The sequence below is a fragment of the Homo sapiens genome, chromosome 11, assembly GCF_000001405.40.
Source record: "Homo sapiens chromosome 11, GRCh38.p14 Primary Assembly".
NCBI classification, from domain to species: domain Eukaryota; kingdom Metazoa; phylum Chordata; class Mammalia; order Primates; family Hominidae; genus Homo; species Homo sapiens.
The window spans coordinates 27,426,124-27,445,127 of NC_000011.10; the positions used below are offsets into that span (position 1 = coordinate 27,426,124).

The 19,004-nt window shown below is 41.5% G+C and overlaps 1 protein-coding gene across 2 annotated transcripts in view, besides 2 other annotated features; it reads right to left on the reverse strand.

The window, feature by feature from the left end:
- Positions 1–19,004, reverse strand: part of LGR4 (leucine rich repeat containing G protein-coupled receptor 4) — a 106,830-nt gene that overhangs the window by 60,163 nt on the left and 27,663 nt on the right. The gene's annotated exons all lie outside the window — the stretch shown is intronic.
- Positions 14,548–15,160: an enhancer, noted in NCBI's record as "NANOG-H3K4me1 hESC enhancer chr11:27462218-27462830 (GRCh37/hg19 assembly coordinates)". NCBI's record gives its function as "activates a minimal SCP1, AML or CMV promoter by ChIP-STARR-seq in naive H9 embryonic stem cells {active_cell/tissue: H9 hESC(naive)}" and the evidence as "EXISTENCE:reporter gene assay evidence [ECO:0000049][PMID:30033119]".
- Positions 17,541–18,283: an enhancer, noted in NCBI's record as "OCT4-NANOG hESC enhancer chr11:27465211-27465953 (GRCh37/hg19 assembly coordinates)". NCBI's record gives its function as "activates a minimal SCP1, AML or CMV promoter by ChIP-STARR-seq in naive H9 embryonic stem cells {active_cell/tissue: H9 hESC(naive)}" and the evidence as "EXISTENCE:reporter gene assay evidence [ECO:0000049][PMID:30033119]".

A 19,004-nucleotide genomic window follows, 5' to 3' on the forward strand; every position in this document is an offset into this window, starting at 1 on the left:
CTGGTTGCAGGCGGAAAGAAAGGGAAGACATATAAAATATCTTCTTTACATGGGACACCTAATAAGTTTCCGGGAAAGACCAACATTTCCTATGGACAGTAAAGAGCGTTAACGACAGATTTCCTCCCTGTCTATTGCTACAACCAAATAATAACTTTACATGCAAACACATTGGGGGAAAAGCAGGAAAGAGAGTAAGGTTTTCATTTAAATACAAGTTACTGCATTAAAAATAGCTTGGGAGGAATGATGTAAAATTGGATTTCAGTAAAACTAATTTTTCTTCCTCAAAATTTCAAAATACAGGCTTTATCCTATAAATAGTATCTCACAGAACCACTGAACTAGAAAGCACAGTGGTTAACAATTTCCCCAAGCCAGCCCAAGAGCCTGCTGTATAACTCTTACTAGTTGTATAACCCTGGGCAAGTCCCTTAATCTCTGTGCCTCAGTTTCTGCAAGTGTAAACGGAGATAACAATTCTGACTTTAGAACACTGCTATAAAGATTAGATGACATGACCTCTGGTGAGTCCCCAGCTCATAGCAAAAAGTCAGTTATTATTATTTTTCTGTTAACCACCAACATGCAATCACCATCTAATCTCACCATCTCATTTTAATAATGAGGGAACTGAGACCCAGAGGGGTTAAATAATTCATTAAAGTATCAAGATCAGACTCCAAATGATAAATCCTGGTCCATGATTCTTTCCACTACCTTAAGCTGGATTGTGTTGCAGTGATGTTTTAAAAATATGCTTTGGAATTTGGGAAAATAATTTCCCCAGAAACAATGGTCAAATGGTGCTTAGACTATGAGGTTAATGGGTCACAGTGGGGTGAGTCCCTCCCTGTAGCTAAAGTAATGACCTAATGTTACAACAAAACATCAAAACAAAGAGAAAAACAGTACTACCTGTACCTAACCAAAGAAATGCAGGAAAAGTCTCTTCTTGCTTATTAATAATAGTGGTGCTTGGAGAAGTTTAATAAATTTAAAATGAGGCAAAATTTATAACATGGAATTCTGGGTACCTTTAAAAGGAGTGGATGTATTATTGATGGTAGTATGTTCAGTTTTACTTAAAAAACTCACAGCTTTTCTGGTTGTTGATCAACATATCTTTATTGGCATGATGAGCAAAACATTCCCTCTGATCTTAAGGGGAAAAAGAGCAGCTGTATGCAAGTAGGGAAAACAGCCAAGTAAAGGAGTACAGGGAAGGGCCTCCGAAACGAAAGAACAGCTGGCATGAAGGTAGAGTCTAGAGGACAGAGCCATTCAGGAAACTGCAAGTAGACAAGTATGGCTGGGTTATGGGGCAGCACATTGGCAGGTACAGGCTGCAGTCTCGGAACAACCTAGAAAGATAACCCAGGCTCATATTACAGTTGCCAGGGAAGCTCCATATAATACAGAGTTTGAGAATGGAGCAAGAAGGTATGAAATATTTTTTAAGAAACATAAACAAGGTTGCTTTACAAAGAAATTCTGGTGGGTAGGCACAATTTTTACAATTCCTACACCTTTGCAACTACCTTTATTGAAACAGCACATTGGCACTCTTCTCCTGGCCCACAATGAGTGATGTTAGAAGTAGCAGCTTCAAGAAACTGATTGCTATGACTATTCCAAGAATGCCAATGAAGTTACTATTCAGGAAGTTACACCGAATTCCCTTATTAGAGCCCTTGGGAAAAAAGTTCTCTCTGACCTCCATTCCAAGAATAGCTGCGTTTCTCCTTCACAACTTGTCTTTTTTATCTTATGGACAACGTGGAATCACAGAAATGGACCCTCTTTCCCTATCAGCTAAAGATTCTGTCAGCCAAAATTGTAACCCGATGTTTACAAATGCATACATTAGGTGAGTAGCTTCAGTAATTCCTGTCCTGGATTCATATTTTCTTGCCCTGTTTGGCAAGAGTCGGGGGGTGGAAGTAGTTCCTGGTCATCTCATCGACTTATTTTGCATTTTATCTTACGCATTTTTTGGTAAGCTATCTTGCATTCTTTTTTTTTTTTCTTTTTCTTTTTTTGAGATGCAGTCACCCAGGCAGGAGAGCAGTGGCACGTTCTCAGCTCACTGCAACCTCTGCCTCTCAGGTTCAAGTGATTCTCCTTCTCCAGCCTCCCGAGAGCTGGGATTACAGGCATCCACCACCACGTCTGGCTAATTTTTTTGTATTTTTAGTAGAGACGATGTTTCACCATGTTGGCCAGGCTGGTCTCAAATTCCTGACCTTGAGTGATCTGCCTGCCTCGGCCTCCCAAAGTACTGGGATTACAGGCGTGAGCCACCACGCCCGGCCTATCTTGCGCTCTTTTTGGAATAAAATGGATTATGTTAGTATCTTGTGAGCACGCTCTACGTGCCTGGCATGCATACACCAACAAATGCACAAACATGTCTTGCTTGGAAGTATAAAAAAGTGATTGCAGAGTCAAGAAGGAAAGATCAACCATGAGGGATAAATGAGATCCTGAACCAATACAGCAGCACAAGGGACAGAAAGGTATAGATAGATAAGAGCCCCCTGAGGGGCAGAACCAGTAGAACTTTGTTACTGAATGTTACTGATTAGAGGTTGGAAAAAAAGGTGAACTTTTCTTTCTTTCTTTTTTTTGTTTTTTTACGACATAGGCTCTTGCTATGTTGCCCAGGCTGGACTCAAACTCCTGGACTCAAGGGATCCTCCTGCTTTGGCCTCCCAAGTAGCTGGAACTACAGGCATGTACCACTGTGTGCAGCTTAAAGGCAAACTCTGAAGATGACATGGTGGTTTTTTTGTCCATGTAGCCGGTAGAGTGATGCTGCTGTCACCTGGAGACACAACAGGAGGAAAAAGTGTGTTGGATCTGTTGGGTCATGTGATGTTATCCAGCAGGGAGTTGTAACTTCAAGCCTAGAATTGAGAAGAAATGCCAAAGAGGAGGTAAAGGTGAGGGAGTGGGCAACACGGAGCATTAAAACTGCAGAAGTGGATGGCATCACTTAGAGATAAAGAGGAGAAAAATAAAGAAAATGGCTGAGAAAAACATTTCTAGATATAACCAGAGTTGAGGAATAGAAACAGGCCAGGCACGGTGGTTCACGCCTGTAATCCCAGCACTTTGGGAGGCTGAGGTGGGCAGATCACTTGAGGTCAGGAGTTCAAGATCAGCCTGGCCAACATGGTGAAACCTCATCTTTAGTAAAAATACAAAAATTAGCTGGGCATGGTGGCAGGTACCTGTAGTCCCAGCTACTCAAGAGGCTGAGGCAGCAGAATCACGAACCCTGGAGGCGGAGGTTGCAGTGGGCTGAGATCGCGCTACTGCACCCTAGCTTGGGTGACAGAACGAGATTCCATCTCAAAAAAAAAAAAGGGAATAGAAACAGGAAGGGGAGGTGGGGAGGTGGGAAACAGGAGTGATCAGGAAGTGGAGGAGGAACCTAAAAGAAAAGCTTCCAGGATAGAAAGTGTTCTGCTGTCCAAACAACCTGCAAATAGAGGAGCCACAGGATTTGGTAATTAGATCATTTGTCAATATGTTTATCATAGCATGAATCTCACGCATATTAACCATGACTAAAAAGTTTTTTCCCTTATTTTGGCTCTGGAATAGAACAAAGAAAAGGAGAGAATTTCCTGAGGTGACTGGGCAAGATTTAAAAGAGCAAAGGAAAAGAAACACAAGGTTTGAAGAGGATGTGTGTAAACATGTGAGAAAGAGACTGCCTGAGGTGGAATTGCCTGGGCTGGGATCCTGAGAGACAGGAAGAGGGGGGACCTCCATGTGACTGTTCCCCCTGCAGCCCTGCAGGGCAGGGGGAAGTTCCCCCATCAGTGAGCAGGTGGGGCTACCAGCTGACCACACCTCAGCAGGGTGCAGTGGTGTAGATGGGGCCCCAGACATCTGTGAGTACTTGGCATCTATTCCTTTATTCTCTAACTCCGGTATGGTTCATTCTAGGCTCACTCTCACATCGAACGTACTCCTCTCACTCCTACATCACAACTATGCATTTTTTCCCTAGTGTGTTTTCCCAGCTCTTCCCCAGCTATAGTAATTAATTCAAAGACACCATCACTTAAGTGCCACTCAAAGCTCCATCGAGATCCAAGAAGAACAATAGTATGCTTATATGCAGTCTTTTAATTTAAATTACCAGTTGAGTCACTACATGCCAACAATTAAGCAATGACACACACAGATTATACTCCACGTTAACAGGGCTAAATCAGAGATCTCAGAGAACAAGTTGCCCTGGACAGCCAAGCTTTCCAGATAGCTGAGGTTTACCTTCAGGGGAATGGAGGAGGTGGAGGCACAGACACTTAAATAACTTGATAATGACTATTTTTCTAAAATGTTATCTGTGCTTCTCTGTTTTCTAAAACAGCACATAGGAAATATAATTTAAGCTTTTCATGGGCCTCCATTATGAGCATCCCCAGGCGGTGATAAGCCAGTAGAAACAAAAACAGTGCATTCCTCCAGCTCACTTCTATCTTGTTTCTCCACCCCTCGACCCCTTGCCTCAATCCAAGCCATCACCATCTCTCCCGGGACCACGACAGTAGCCTTCTGTTTGGTCTCCCTCTTTCCATGCTTGCCCCTCTGAATTTGACCTACACATGGCAGTCAAAGCAATCTTTTTAAAACAAGAAGACAATTCATGCCAATCCAGTGCTTAGCAGTCTCTTTGTTCTATATCAAGGCCCTACCTGAACTTGCTCCTGCATCCTCTCCAACATCATCTCAAATCATCCCCACCCCACTCCCAGCTCCCCCAACCCCCACAAGCACGCAAACCTCTCCTCCTTCCACCTTTGCACTTGTTCTCTGCCTGGTCTATTCTTCCCTAGCTCTTCCCATAGCACCTCCTTCTTACCTCCTGGTTTTCTCTCAAATGTCACCCCTTCAGACAGTCTCTTCTTAGCCCCCCTAAAATGGCCCCCAGTAAACTCTATATTACCAACCAGTTTATTTCCTCTGTCTAGTTATCATTGGATTTATCTTCTTTCCTTTTACTTTATTAGAAAACAAACTTTCTTCAGCATTAACCACTGAGCGAGGGGTTCTCAGAAAGTGGTCCAATGTCACCTGGGAATGAGAATTTGATAGAAAGGCACTTTCTTGTGCCCTACTCCAGACCAACTAATCAAACACTCTAGGGGTATTAACAAACTTTCCATGTGATTTTGATGCACATTCACATGTGAGAACCACTGCAGTATATTACAATGGCCCCTTATGCGTTCATGGTCTTCCCCACTAGAAAAGAACATTTATGAGGACAAAGAGCTAGTCTACCTTGTTCACTATCAATTTTCTAACCCCTAGCCCAACACCTAACATACTATAAACATTCACGGGGAGGAGATATCCTATTCCATAACCAATATTTGTGCTACTAAACTAAAGCTATGTAAACACCATGGACGTTTAAATGGTCTGCTGTTTTTCATCGTCCCCCAAAGACACTGCCTAGCCTGGGTTTGCTCTTCCTTCTGTTTTTCTTCTTCCATGACTCTTGGGTCACTATCTTTTTCTTCCATATTTCTTGGCACTCAGGACAAAAGGATTGTCCATCCAAAGAACTTACTAATCCGTGTAAGATGACCAATCTTCAAGAGCACTCCATCCATATAATATTATTTCAGTCTCAGGCAGTAGAACATGACTTTCAGCAAGGCTGCCTGAGTTCAAATCCAAGTTCTACCATGTATTAGCTGCGTGATCTTCCACAGATGGATTAAATTCTGTGTTTAGCTTCCTCATCTATAAATAATGAATCATGGCATCCACCTCACAAGGTTGCTGTGAGAATAAAGTAATTCATCATGTAAAGTGTTTGGATCATGCTGACATAAGGAAGGTACTCTATGCACATTGATTGTAATATGTCACATCCTGCCGGTTATTATCCCCAGCAGGATGGCAAATTCTTGGCCCTGGTGGTTCAGGACTGAAATACTGATCTACATAGCAGAGCATTGCCACTCACTCCTAGGCAAGGAATAAAAAGGCATTCCACATACCAGGAGCACTAACCCTACTTAAGATGGGCTAGTCTTTACAATTCCCTAAATCCTCCTTCCCACAGTTTCCTACTGTACGCTAGCAGCCTTTTCCACTTGAACACCTTCTCTCCCCAGCCACCATCTTTGACCTTGCTTTCAAAATGCTCAGAAATAAAACAAGTATTTGTTTAACAAATTAGACATTTCCTGGAAGATGTCTGCAATTGAATGAAATTGCCCAGAGGTGGTCAAGCCACAGGATAAGGAGTACAGGAGACTGGCTCACCTACTTCATATAAAGTGTTTGTCCCAGAGAAGACCCAATGGCAAAATTCAAAGAGGTGGACATGGAAAAAAGCAGCCTATTTCTGCCCTTCAAATAACAGAGGAAAATAAAGAGAAAAGAAATCATGGAAGAACAATTGACATATAACGAAGAAGTTCTGGATATACCTAGAACTTACAGACAGCAGCAAATATTTTAGAATTACTAGGACATCCGAGAGTGTCTAAAGCAAAGCGCTGACAAGCCTAAGATCTTACAGAGGACCCCCCATTGCTTCTGGAGGCAAATTTAAACTCCTCTCCACCCACTGGAAGAAATTGAGATTCTCCATCAGTTATACTACCTTAATCTTTTTCTTTGCATGCTTCACCTATATTCTTCCGCTCTGGCTAGGTCCTCTTCCCTTAGATCTCCTTACCCGTATATCCTCCCCACCACAACAGCTGGTTTCTTCCCACTTTTTTTCCCACTACACCATTGCTACTCAAAACCTGAGTAGTCTGTAAACTGTTAACATTCCACAATGAGACAAGCAGAGCTACTGAAAGTTCACATCATGGCAACATGACAAATTTTATGATTTTGAATCAATAATAAGAACTTTGGGTTTGTATTATGTAGGCTTTCTTTGCTCCATTTTATTTTCCTGAAAATTAATGTTTATATTTTATAAAAACACGAACCATATTGGATTGGAAATTAAAAACTAAAACAAAAAACTGACACATCAGAAAAGGAATGTTAAGGAACACTACCCTAGATCAGTCACAGGGAACACTCGTCTATTCTTTCTTTTTTTATTTTTTTGAGACGGAGTCTCGCTCTGTCATCCAGGCTGGAGTGCAGTGGCGCCATCTCGGCTCACTACAAGCTCCGCCTCCCGGGTTCTCGCCATTCTCCTGCCTCAGACTCCCCAGTAGTTGGGACCACAGGCGCCTGCCACCATGCACGCCCGGCTAATTTATTTTTATTTCTTTTTTTTTTTTTTTAGTAGAGATGGGATTTCACCGTGTTAGCCAGGATGGTCTCCATCTCCTGACCTTGTAATCTGCCCACCTCAGCCTCCCAAAGTGCTGGGATTACAGGTGTGAGCCACCATGCCCGGCCCACTCTTCTATTCTTTTCTCCCACAACCTAATGTTCTTCAGAGTGTGCTCTAAACTATCCTCCCTGTGAATGTTTCTCCTATAGTTTATACCCTATTATCATGTAAGCGGCTGGAATTTTTTAAATGAACTAAACAGAAAGGCAAAACAAATCATTCATTCTATTCCTGTGCAAGTTCTTTGCACTAAGGAGCCCGTTATTTGCTTTATGCTTCTCTCATCCTTTGCACAACACAGACGCAGCACAGTGTGGTGGTTCAACTTCTGGGTTAAAAAGGGACTTAAAAATGGAGTCCAATTCCCATGGGCCACAGCCAAACTTTGGCCATGTGACCTGAAGCAAGTCCCTTAACTCTTCTGAGCTTCTAGTTTCTCTTCTGTGATGTGAGGTCGGCATGGCATGCAAAGCCTTCCCAACTCTAAAATTAAATGATGTCTGTTTGTTCTTAGAAAGGCTCTCAGGTTCCTCACAGTCAAATGGGAAAATATCTCCCCTACCTCAGGGCTGGGAAGATTGGAAAGCACCATTAAAACCACAGAGCCTTCTGGGAACTTAAGGCATTTTTATTACTATCCTACATATACTAGGTGCCCATGCAGAATTCATGAACCAAACATAGAAACTTCACATATTCAGCCTCCAAAACTGAAGGCCAGGACAGTGAGGGATCTGGAACCTGACGAGGCAGCCACTGAAAAGAGAGGCTATTTGTTCTGGAGAAGATGAGATTGAGGAAGAAACCTGAAGAGCTCTCATGTAAATAAGAGAAGAATATCTCCATTGCTCTAGATGCATGAATTAAGTACAATCAATAGATGCTTTCAATGGGAAAGGAAGGAAGAAAGGAACTAATAATTCCAAAATGTTTAATATAGCTTAGTGTTTACATCTCATTTCCCCTTTTAATATTCACAACTCTGGCCTTACATACCCAAAGTAAAATAATTTTTGGTGAAGTAGAGGCCTGTGGTCTGTCCACTACACTGAACTGGGAAGCTAACTGTATCACAAAAAATAACAAAAAAGATTACTGTTAATGTCTTGAGCTGTTCAGTAAGAGAAGCCCCTGCCTTGCCAGAGATACTAAACGCAGTGGCTAAAGACAATCTGTCAAGGACACTAGAGAAGAGCTTCCTACCATGAATGTGACTCCTAGAATTCTGGTACCTTAAATCAATACAATGCCTATTCATAGCCCCTGAAATACCACACAACTGGAGAGACCAATTCAAGGTTGTCAACTTTTTTATTTTGACTTATAAGCACATTTATAAAACAACTCCATCAATCTAAAGAGGGGAGAGGGGAGGAACATTAAATTTAATATTCTCCCCCAAAAGCCAAACGGTATGATCTTACAATAAAAGATGGCCCCTTAAAGTGACTAATAATAGAGTCACTTAAAAATCATGACAATACCCCTAGTTTTCATATTTCACCATGCAACGTGTCAAACAGGCAGCTGGAAACCCACAACACTACACCAGATGACCTTCCTGACGAGCTACTTATAGATAAAACTTGGCCAGGTGCAGAGGCTCATGGCTGTAATCCTAGCACTTTGGGAGGCCAAGTCGGGAGATCACTTGAGATCAGGCGTTCGAGACCAGCCTGGCCAATATGGTGAAAACCCATGTCTACTAAAAATACAAATTAGCTGGGCATGGTGACGCACGCCTGTAATCCCAGTTGCTTGGGAGGCTGAGGAAGGAGAATAGCTTGAACCCAGGAAGCAGAGGCTGCAGTGAGCTGAGATTACACCACTATACTCCAGCCTGGGCAACAGAGTGAGACTCTGTCTCAAAAAACAAACAAACAAACAACAACAACAACAACAAAAACTCAGAGATAACAATGCTACTAGACAGAGTCTCTTAAATGATCAAATTCTAATGATGGTATTATCCTTTCTAGATAACACTTATTTGACCAAGTGCCTCTTCTGTTCTGTTCATCAGCTACTTTTTTTTTTTTTGAGATGAAGTCTCACTCTGTTGCCCAGGCTGGAGTGCAGTGGTGCAATCTCGGTTCACTGCAACCTCCGCCTCCTGGGTTCAAGCTATTCTCCTGCCTCAGCCTCCCAAGTAGCTGGGATTACAGATGCCTGCCACCACACCCAGCTAATTTTTGTATTTTTAGTAGAGATGGGGTTTCATCATGTTAGCCAGGCTGGTCTTGAACTCCTGACCTCAAGTGATCCTCCCACCTCAGCCTCCCAAAGTGCTGTGATTACAGGTATAAGCAACTGTGCCCAGCTCATCAACTACTTTGAATGCATCTAGTGCCAGGCTGGAGGCAAATGGTTCACATATCTTAACCTCACAATAATCCTAAGAGGTAGGTTCTATCGCTATTCTCATTTTACAGAACTGGAAATGGAACTTCTTTTTTTTTTTTTGAGACGGAGTCTCGCTCTGTCACCCAGGCTGGAGTGCAGTGGCGCGATCTGGGGCTCACTGCAAGCTCCGCCTCCTGGGTTTTTGCCATTCTCCTGCCTCAGCCTCCTGAGTTGCTGGGAGTACAGGCGCCCACTACCACGCCCGGCTAATTTTTTGTATTTTTAGTAGAGATGGGGTTTCACCGTGTTAGCCAGGATGGTCTCGATCTCCTGACCTCGTGATCCACCCACCTTGGCCTCCCAAAGTGCTGGGATTACAGGTGTGAGCCACTGCTCCTGGCCAAATGGAACTTCTTAAAGTCACCTCGAAATGATGTCAAGCCAGGATCTGAATACCCAGACAATCTTCAAAATCCTGTCTCCCGAATCACTACACCATAATGCAAAGAAAGAAAGAAATAAAAGACAGAGAGAGAGAGAGAAAGAAAGAAAGAAAGAAAGAAAGAGAGAGAGAGAGGATGGGAGGGGAGGGGAGGGGAGGGGAGGAAGGAAGGAAAGAAACTGTCAGGCACTAATGAATGATTTTAAGAAATATTCTAAAACTACTTATTTATCCAGGAAATTTATCCTGGATGGATAAATTATAAGGATGGATGTTTCACTTGGCTTGGTGAAAAGTGAAGACAACACTTATATAACTAACAATATATATGTAATAGTGTTTTCACCATATTTTTTTATCATGTATATGGAGAGGAAAAAGAACAAAATCCCAGGAAAATAAATCATGATAGCAGTAAAGATATTTTCTATAAGCCCTACAATTTTTGTCATTATAGTTTACAACATGGCAATAAAAATAGCTATTGGACCACTCACTCACCACAGGTGTTAATATCGTTTGTTCATATGTTATTACGTACCTATCACACAGCTGCAGGTAACTCTAACCCTACATGTCTTACGCTTGCAAATCTTGAATCTGTTTGATAGATAGGCCCTTAGCTATACCAGTCTTTGCACTGCATTGCGGGGATAGGAGGGGGTGTTGAAGGGAGATGGAGGGATTTGAGGGGGTGGGAATGGCACTAAAAAATCTGGCATATATCTGTCTGTTTGGTTACTAACTAGTTTTAATTTCAAAAAATCCCCCCTTCCATTTTACTTTGGTTCTTCTGCTGTTTCCACCCAATATTTAGATAGAAACATGAGCCAAAAAAGTTGGGATGGGTCTTAAATTTGGGGGCCAGCAGGCTAAAAAGCTTGGCCCAGAATGCAAACTGCCACTTATGTGGCTGACTCAGGACAACCAATGTAAACATGTAAGTTAGTCCAAATATACACACACTTGTTTATATTTTAAAACTTATTTTGCATCTTAGTAATTTCTTCCCTAAAAATAGCCAAGGAACCCTACTGTTTTGGCCAATTTTTTTTTTTATAAATTGCTGTTTTGAAAAGAAATTATAATTATCCATGTGTATTGAACAGACCAAAGACATGCTACTATTTTCTAGTGTTGAGAAAAGTTTCAAAGTGCTACCTAGAAGCAATCATTAAAACCAACGTACCTCCATAAAATGCATTTTTTATCAAATGCTTTATAAATAAATAGTGAGTTAAAATTGAGAAGGAGTGACTATTTTTATTGCATGTCACCTGGTCAGGTATTTCCTGCAAGAACAGGGACTAGATCCGTCCTTCCAATCCTTGTAATGCTAGGCATGAAAAGAAGGTGGTCCTATTTTTAAAGTCTTTATGGATTTTTACTTGAATCTCTTTTAAAGGACTAGTGTGTGTGTGTGTGTGTGTGTGTGTGTGTGTGTGTGTTTATGCTAAAAGAAATCATAAAGCTAGGCACAATGGCTCAAGCTTATAATTCCAGCACTTTGGGAGGTACAGGCAGGAGGACCTCCTGAGCCCAGGAGTCTGAGATCAGCCTGGGTAACATAGTGAGATTCTGTCTCTACAAAAAAGATTAAAAAATACAGCCAGGAGGGGTGGCGTGCCCTGTAGTCCCAGATACTCAGGACAGGGGTGAGGTGGCTGAGATGGAAGGACAACTTGAGCTTGCGAGGTTAAGATTGCAGTGAGCTATGATCGCTCCAGTGCACTCCAGCCTGAGCAACACAGCAAGACTCTCCACCCGCCCCAGGAAAAAAAAGACATAGAAACCATAGAGATGACCTAGTTCAAGTCATTCTCACCCCCACCTTTGGAACTTGTACTGATGAGTAAATCAAAGGCCATTTCTTTATTCAAAGCCACACAACCAGAATCAAGACCCAAATCTTGGTCTGTGCATTTTCCACATTTCTCCCAATACAAACTGATAACTAGTATGTATTACATAAAAACATCATTATCTAAAAATTGCAAGAGATGGCAAAACAAATGCAAGTCTAGAATGAACATCTATTTTCCTTACCTAAGACATTTATACTCTTCTGAAAAATGTATAGCAATAGTTCTCAACCAGGGGTGATCTGGCATTGGAGACAGTTGGCAATGTCTGAGGATATTTTTGGTTGCCACCACTTGGCAGGCAGAAGCTGGGAGGTTACTGGTATCTAGTGAGTAGGGGCCAGGGATGGTGTTAAGCCTCCTACAATGCCTAAGACAGACCCTATGATGGTTAATTTTATGTGTCAACTTACTAAGCCATGGAGTTCCCACATATTTGGTTAAACGTTATTCTTGGTATATATATAAGGGTGTTTCTGGATGAGATGATCATTGTAATCAGTAAACTGAGTAAACCAGATTGCACTCCTTAATATGGGTGGGCCTCATCCAATCTGTTGAAGGTTAGAAAACAATTAAAAGGTGAAGTAAAGGAGAATTTGCTCTCTCTGCCTAACTGTCTTTGAGCTGAGACTTTGGCCTTCTGACTCATGCTCGAACTAGAACTTACACCATTGACTCTCTTGGCTCTCAGGCCTTCAGACTCTAACTGAAACTTACCCCATCAGCTCTCCCGGGTCCCAGGCCTTCAGTCGTGGACTGGAACTATACCTCCAATAACCACCTGAGCCAATTCCTTTTAATCAATCTCAGTAAACATATATACATATATCCTATATATATTCTACTGGTCCTATTTCTTTGGAAAACCCAGGCTAATACCGGCCCCTACAACAAGAATTATCCAGCACAAAATGTCAATGCCAAGGTTAAAAAACCCTGATGTATAAGAATATTGACATTTTCATAATGGAGATGTCGTGATGGTAAATGGAGATTTACCATTTTAAATGTACAGTTCAGTAGCATCCATCACTACCATCCATCCACATAGAACTTTTTTCATCTTGCAAAACTGAAACTCTACCCATTAATCAGTAACTCCCTATTCCCCACTCCCCCTAGCCCTTGGCATCCACCATGCTACTTTCTGTCTCTATGAATTTTGACTACTCTAAGTACCTATATGAATGGAATTATACAGTGTTTCTCCTTTTGTGACTGGCTTATTTCACTTAGCATGTCTTCAAAGTTCATCCATTTTGTAGCATGTGTCAGGATGGATTTCCTTCCTTTTTAAGGCTAAATAATATTCTATTGTATGTGTGTATATGCCATATTTTGTTTATCCAATTACCCATCAATGGACATGTGGGGTGCTTCTACATTTTGGCTATTGTGAATAATGCTGCTATGAGCACAGGTGTGCAAATATTTCTTTTAAAATCCTGCTTTCAATTTGCGGGGAATACATATACCCAGGAGTGAAATTGCTGGGCCATATGGCAACTCTATTTTTAATTTTTTGAGGAACCACCACAGTTTTCCACAGAAACTATGTCATTTAACATTCCCTTGGGTGCATTTTTACTCGGCAATGCTCTCAATAGCAGAAGTTTTCTTTTGTCTACCTCTCTCTGCTCCACTTCCCTCCCTGTACCCTGGCCATTTTATGAAGCAGGTAGTGAGCGAATACTTTAAAAACTGGGACACTCTTAAAGACACCCTAGGGAGTGATTTTTTAAATATGAATTGTCACTCTCTGGTTTTCCTTGAGGTAGGATTTCTCTTTTTTTTTTTTTTTTTTTTTTGAGACGGAGTCTCGCTCTGTTGCTCAGGCAGGAGTGCAGTGGCACGATCTCAGCTCACTGCAACCTCCGCCTCTCAGGTTCAAGCGATTCTCCCACCTCAGCCTCCCAAGTAGCTGAGATTATAGGCACCCACCACCACGCCCAGCTAATTTTTATATTTTTAGTAGAGACGTGGTTTCACCATGTTGGCCAGGATGGTCTTGAACTCCTGACCTCAGGTGATCTGCCCGCCTCGGCCTCCTAAAGTACTGGGATTACAGGCGTGAGCCACTGCACCCAGCCTTGAGGTAGGATTTCTACAATGCATCTTGACCACAGTGGAGGGGTGTGGAGAGGCACGGAGCACATGGGAAGGAATACACCTGCCCACCCAGCAGATGGACCCTTCTCCAAACCAATCCTGAAAGCCAACCCAGACCGCAGTCTGTGAAACCTGAGAAAAATAATCCCCATGTCATCTCGAGTTTTCTATGTGACACCTGTTTGTATTCTTTGAGAAAGAGAGTCTTTCTATTTTTGAGATCTCTTATTTACATGCATCTTGTGGGAAAAGATTCCAGTTTTACAGAGCACAATACCACTGTTAAGGTGACTTTCAATACAAGTTCAATGGTTCTCATGAGTTAATTCTTGGCAAAATGTAGTTTTGCATACTTACATGTGGGACAGTAGTAGGTCCAAGCTGCTTAGGAAGAGTATGGATTTCAATTAATTTGTAACTTTGTTCCCACAAAGACCCGGAGGCTTCTCTTTATTTTTCACTAAGAAGTATGGTTAACATACTCACATGGAACTGTCTGAAAGGGTAAGGTAGTATCTCACATATCTAGAACTCCTTAAAGTAGGGGTTCTCAAATTGTGCTCTCAGAACTAGCAGCACCAATATCACCTGGAAATTTGCCAGAAATTCAAGTAACTGGGCCCCCACCCAGGTCGATGGAATCAAAAATCCTAGAGGTGGGTCTCAGCAATGTGTTTTACACAGCCCTCCTGGTGATTCGAATACACATTATAGTGGCACAACGGGGAACCACTGCCCGGCTCTCACAAAGCACTTTTATGCTCGTGAAAGTATTTGGACTTCACAGCAACTTTACAAGGCAGGTAGGGTTGGGAGAGTGTCCCCTTTTACAAATGGGGAAATTGAGGCCCAGAGGAGTCTTACCTAAAGTGACACTGACTTACCTGAAGTGACACAGTTAAGCAAACAGAATAAGAAATTCATAGAACTAGAGAAATATTGGGGATCATGTAGCCAAGTATCCTCAATGCATAGGTGAGGCAACTAGAACCCAGAGGCTAAATGATGTGAACAAGATCACACAGTGCCATAATGGAAAGCCTTTTCTCCTGTCAAAGTTCCATTCTCATTCTCCATTAAACCATTACATCTAAGCAGTCAGCCTCTACTAGTTAACTACCTCCTCAAATGATGAGTTAAGTCATGTATGATAAGTACTTAGTTTGGGACTTACTAGGTATTTCACACACAAAAAAAGTGGCATGGGTGACTAAATAAGATTGATTTCATCATTACATAAAAAATCGCCTTTAATAAGACAACAGGGTAAGAGGGTTAAGGACACTGAGGCTAAAGGAATGGACAGATCTTAATCTAACCAGAGAAAGAAATGAATGATAGAGAGAAAGTAAAAAGTTCAAGGGACATGAGGGCTTAATGAGGCTGAAAAATTTGTATACACTGAGCTAAAAATTTTCTTAAAAAGAGAGAGAGAGGGGCTGTAGTCAGAGGGATTTAGCAGTTCTGTGGTCACAAGGTCCAAGATTTGGTCATGGGAGGAAAAGGCTGAAGTGGAGTTGAGACAGGGCTCACCAATGTGATGGAGATAAATGAAATGAGAGGCAAAAGTGTCAAAAGGATTGTCCATGTTGGGTGAATGACAGAACTTACGGCAGGGGAGAGGATGGCAGAAATCATAAGATCATGAACTTGGCACCCAATCCTCCTTTAAAGGGGACCAACAGACAAGCCAGTAGATGACAGTATTTGCGAAGGATCAGAACTAAAGGTCAGGGACCACAGATGGAACAGAGATTGTGAGTTAAGATGAAAGCCCAGTGACCTATGGGCAACAATGAGGAGCGGTGAGAATCAATCCTATTCTCTTAACAGTGTAGGAAGATGAGCAGCCTCTAACCAAAAGTCTGCAGGGGAAGCAGTTCTTCAGAGAAGAGCTAGTGAAGAGGCTGAGATGGAGAAAAGCATATCAACCATGGAAGAGGGTTAGACAGAATGGGGCAAGCAAGGGCTTGGGATTAAGAAGAGGAGTGGGAAATCAAACCAGAGAAGAAGAGACTAGCAACCCAGCTCCAATACCACATTTTGTGGGAGGTCTACAAATAGAACTACTCACTCTTTTGTAGGGGTGAAAATGCCATCCAAAGAGCCTGATAGGCCACAAGATGAACCTCAATATTAAACACCTTGTTCAACTAATAACTTAGTCCCATGCAGCTACACAACTACGTTACCTACCTTGCCGCAAAACTTTATTTTGTTTTGTTTTACAATTTTAGGGGCCTCATTCTTCCATTTTAATGTAGTGATACCTACAGAGGGCTTATAAACCACTTATAATCATCTTCAAACACATCTGAGGGGTAGTGAGTTAAATGTTATTACCACTATGTTGTCAACAACAACGACAACAAAAAAACACAGGTGATTTTCAAAAGATTACAGAGCAAAACAGCACCAGACCTGAGAAGACTCTAAAATGAATTATGACAATCATTCACAAAGAAAGAGTCAATATTCCATGTTCTTCACATTATACACAAGAGCTGTGTTGGTTCTATTCTAGACAAATGAAGAAGAGAGGGCCGTAGAGAGAAGACAGTTATTTTCATTAAATTATCCCTGAAAACTGAATCCTCTGCTACTTGAAAATCTGGAAGGAAGAAGACTAATTGGGTAAGAAGCAGAGTTTGGTTTCAGATTTTGGTATAAGGAGCTGTTCACAGCAAAAGAGAAATAAAGGAAGTTAGTATTCATCAAATATTTCCTATATAACAGGGACTGTACTAGACACATATCGTGCTCAACTCATTTAATTCTCACAACCATTCTGAGAGACAGGTATTATTAACTCCAACTGGAGGATGAAACTGAGGCTCAGAAAGGTTAAGAAACTTGCCCAAGGAAACACTGGACAGGGCACTTTATCCACAACACAAGGATGCCTCAAAAATGGAAGGCCTAGAGTCTTACTGAAAGAAATCCTGGCTGATCTCTGGTCTCCAAACCCCATCTCCCACTCCATTGTCTAAGGGCATATCAGAGTTGGGTGGATCCTGACAGCTGAACCATGTGCCCCTCTCCCAGGTACACCTGTTATTACACACTCAAGTAATACCACTGCACGATGGGAAATTCCTCCCCAAGCTCATTCCTACCACTGAACACCAGAGAGGTTAGAAGTCTGAACTAATGGGTAGGTGGTCTCTGAGACTCATGCGTCCCACCTAAGTAGCCTGTATATCAAAACAGCTTCAGCAAGACGACTCTGTTTTCCCCTAATTACTTGGCCACTTTAACAAGCTTTGGGGGATTTTACTAAAATGAAAATGGGGAAAGGCTGAAGCAGCTTACAAATGTACAAATTAAAAAATATCTTTACATAACTTTAAGGCTGAATCCATACGCAAGGAGCTGTTAAAAATATGTACATAGGTATTTATATACATATACATTGTTTTTTAAAGAGAACTCTGGGACAGCTAGAACATTAAAATGACCCTTTCATGAAAATTCCAGGGCATATTCATAACAGGAGTCAGACAGATTTTGTTTTCTACCAGAGTTCTATAAAAATAAACTGTCATCACAACATCCTTGTGGTAGTAAAAGGCCATATTTGCCTGCAGTTAAATCCAACAGCAGCTGCTCTATGGAAAAAGACGGCCCAATAATTGGCTTCTTTCACCTCTGTTAATCACGAACAAAAGTGTCATTCAGTTTCAAAATGGACAAAATGCTCCAATGGATGGTCAGCTAGCTGAGCCAATGGGGTGGAATAACAATAACCCTGTAGCATTTTCCTTTTTCCTTTTGTTTGGTCTTTCAAAGCCCTTAATTAAGACCTGCACAAAGCACCCCTACAGGCTTTTTTCAATGAGGCATTACACGCCTGTTTTCTTGTATTTAAAGAAAAAAAAAATAGCAGGGATTTTCTGAAACACATTAAACAGAATACACAATTTCCATTTATTTGCAACTGAAACACTGTTAAAATTTTAGAGCTTAAATATTATCATCAGTAACAAAGCAAGTTCTTTCCATTTCAGGCTTGGGGAGTGGAGGGTGAAAGAGGGACTACTGAGAAGGAGGCGGGAAAGTTAGAGCTGAGACAGGCAGAAGAGTGCCAACTCAAAGAAGTGCTGTTAAACCATTTCTCCAGGAATAAAACTGCAAGCAGCCATAATTTAGAAAGACCTAGATTAGTCTCTAAACCTTTCAATAGCTTAGCACCTACAAACTGAAAGAAACAGCAAAACATGAAATATTCTTAGAGCAAACAACTAGTCAACCGAGACAAAGGGTCATACAAGTTGGAATTGAATCTACTTCTGAAACACTCCTTAAAAATCACACACAAGAAAGATATTTTTACAATTAAACAATCTCTATAAGAACTTTGTGTAGGTCTATAATTGATTTCTTTTTCTATCTTGGCCTTTAAAAAGCTTCATATAATTAGGGTGGATAAGAATCAGAATGTCCAGCTTTAAAAATATCCATAGCCTAATTAAGTTTTCATTATTCAATTTTCTTTTTGCACAACTTAAATAAAGGCTGTTGTGTTCACTTTTAAATGCTCTGAAATATAATCTTTCCGGGTTTTAGACTGTTCTGAAAATACCTAGTTCTGCCCATAATTTGTTCTTCCCTCCCCCTCTCACAAGTATCCTGAGTGACAGCTTAATGTGACAGCTTTCTTGCCACAATTCACCAAAGGGGAGTGGCAGGTAGGGTTCTCAGAGAACAAATACCTAACAAAGCCATCATTCTGGGGAGTTACTTTCAATCTGTCAATCCAATCCATCAAGTGGAATGTGCTCCACTATTCTCTTGTAAATGTGCTTATTTCAAACAAGGCAGAACTCGGGCAGCTGCCCTACAGAAGACTAAATGACCCAGCTCAAATGTCACCTCTGCTGTGAAGCCTTCCAATCCCCAAGGC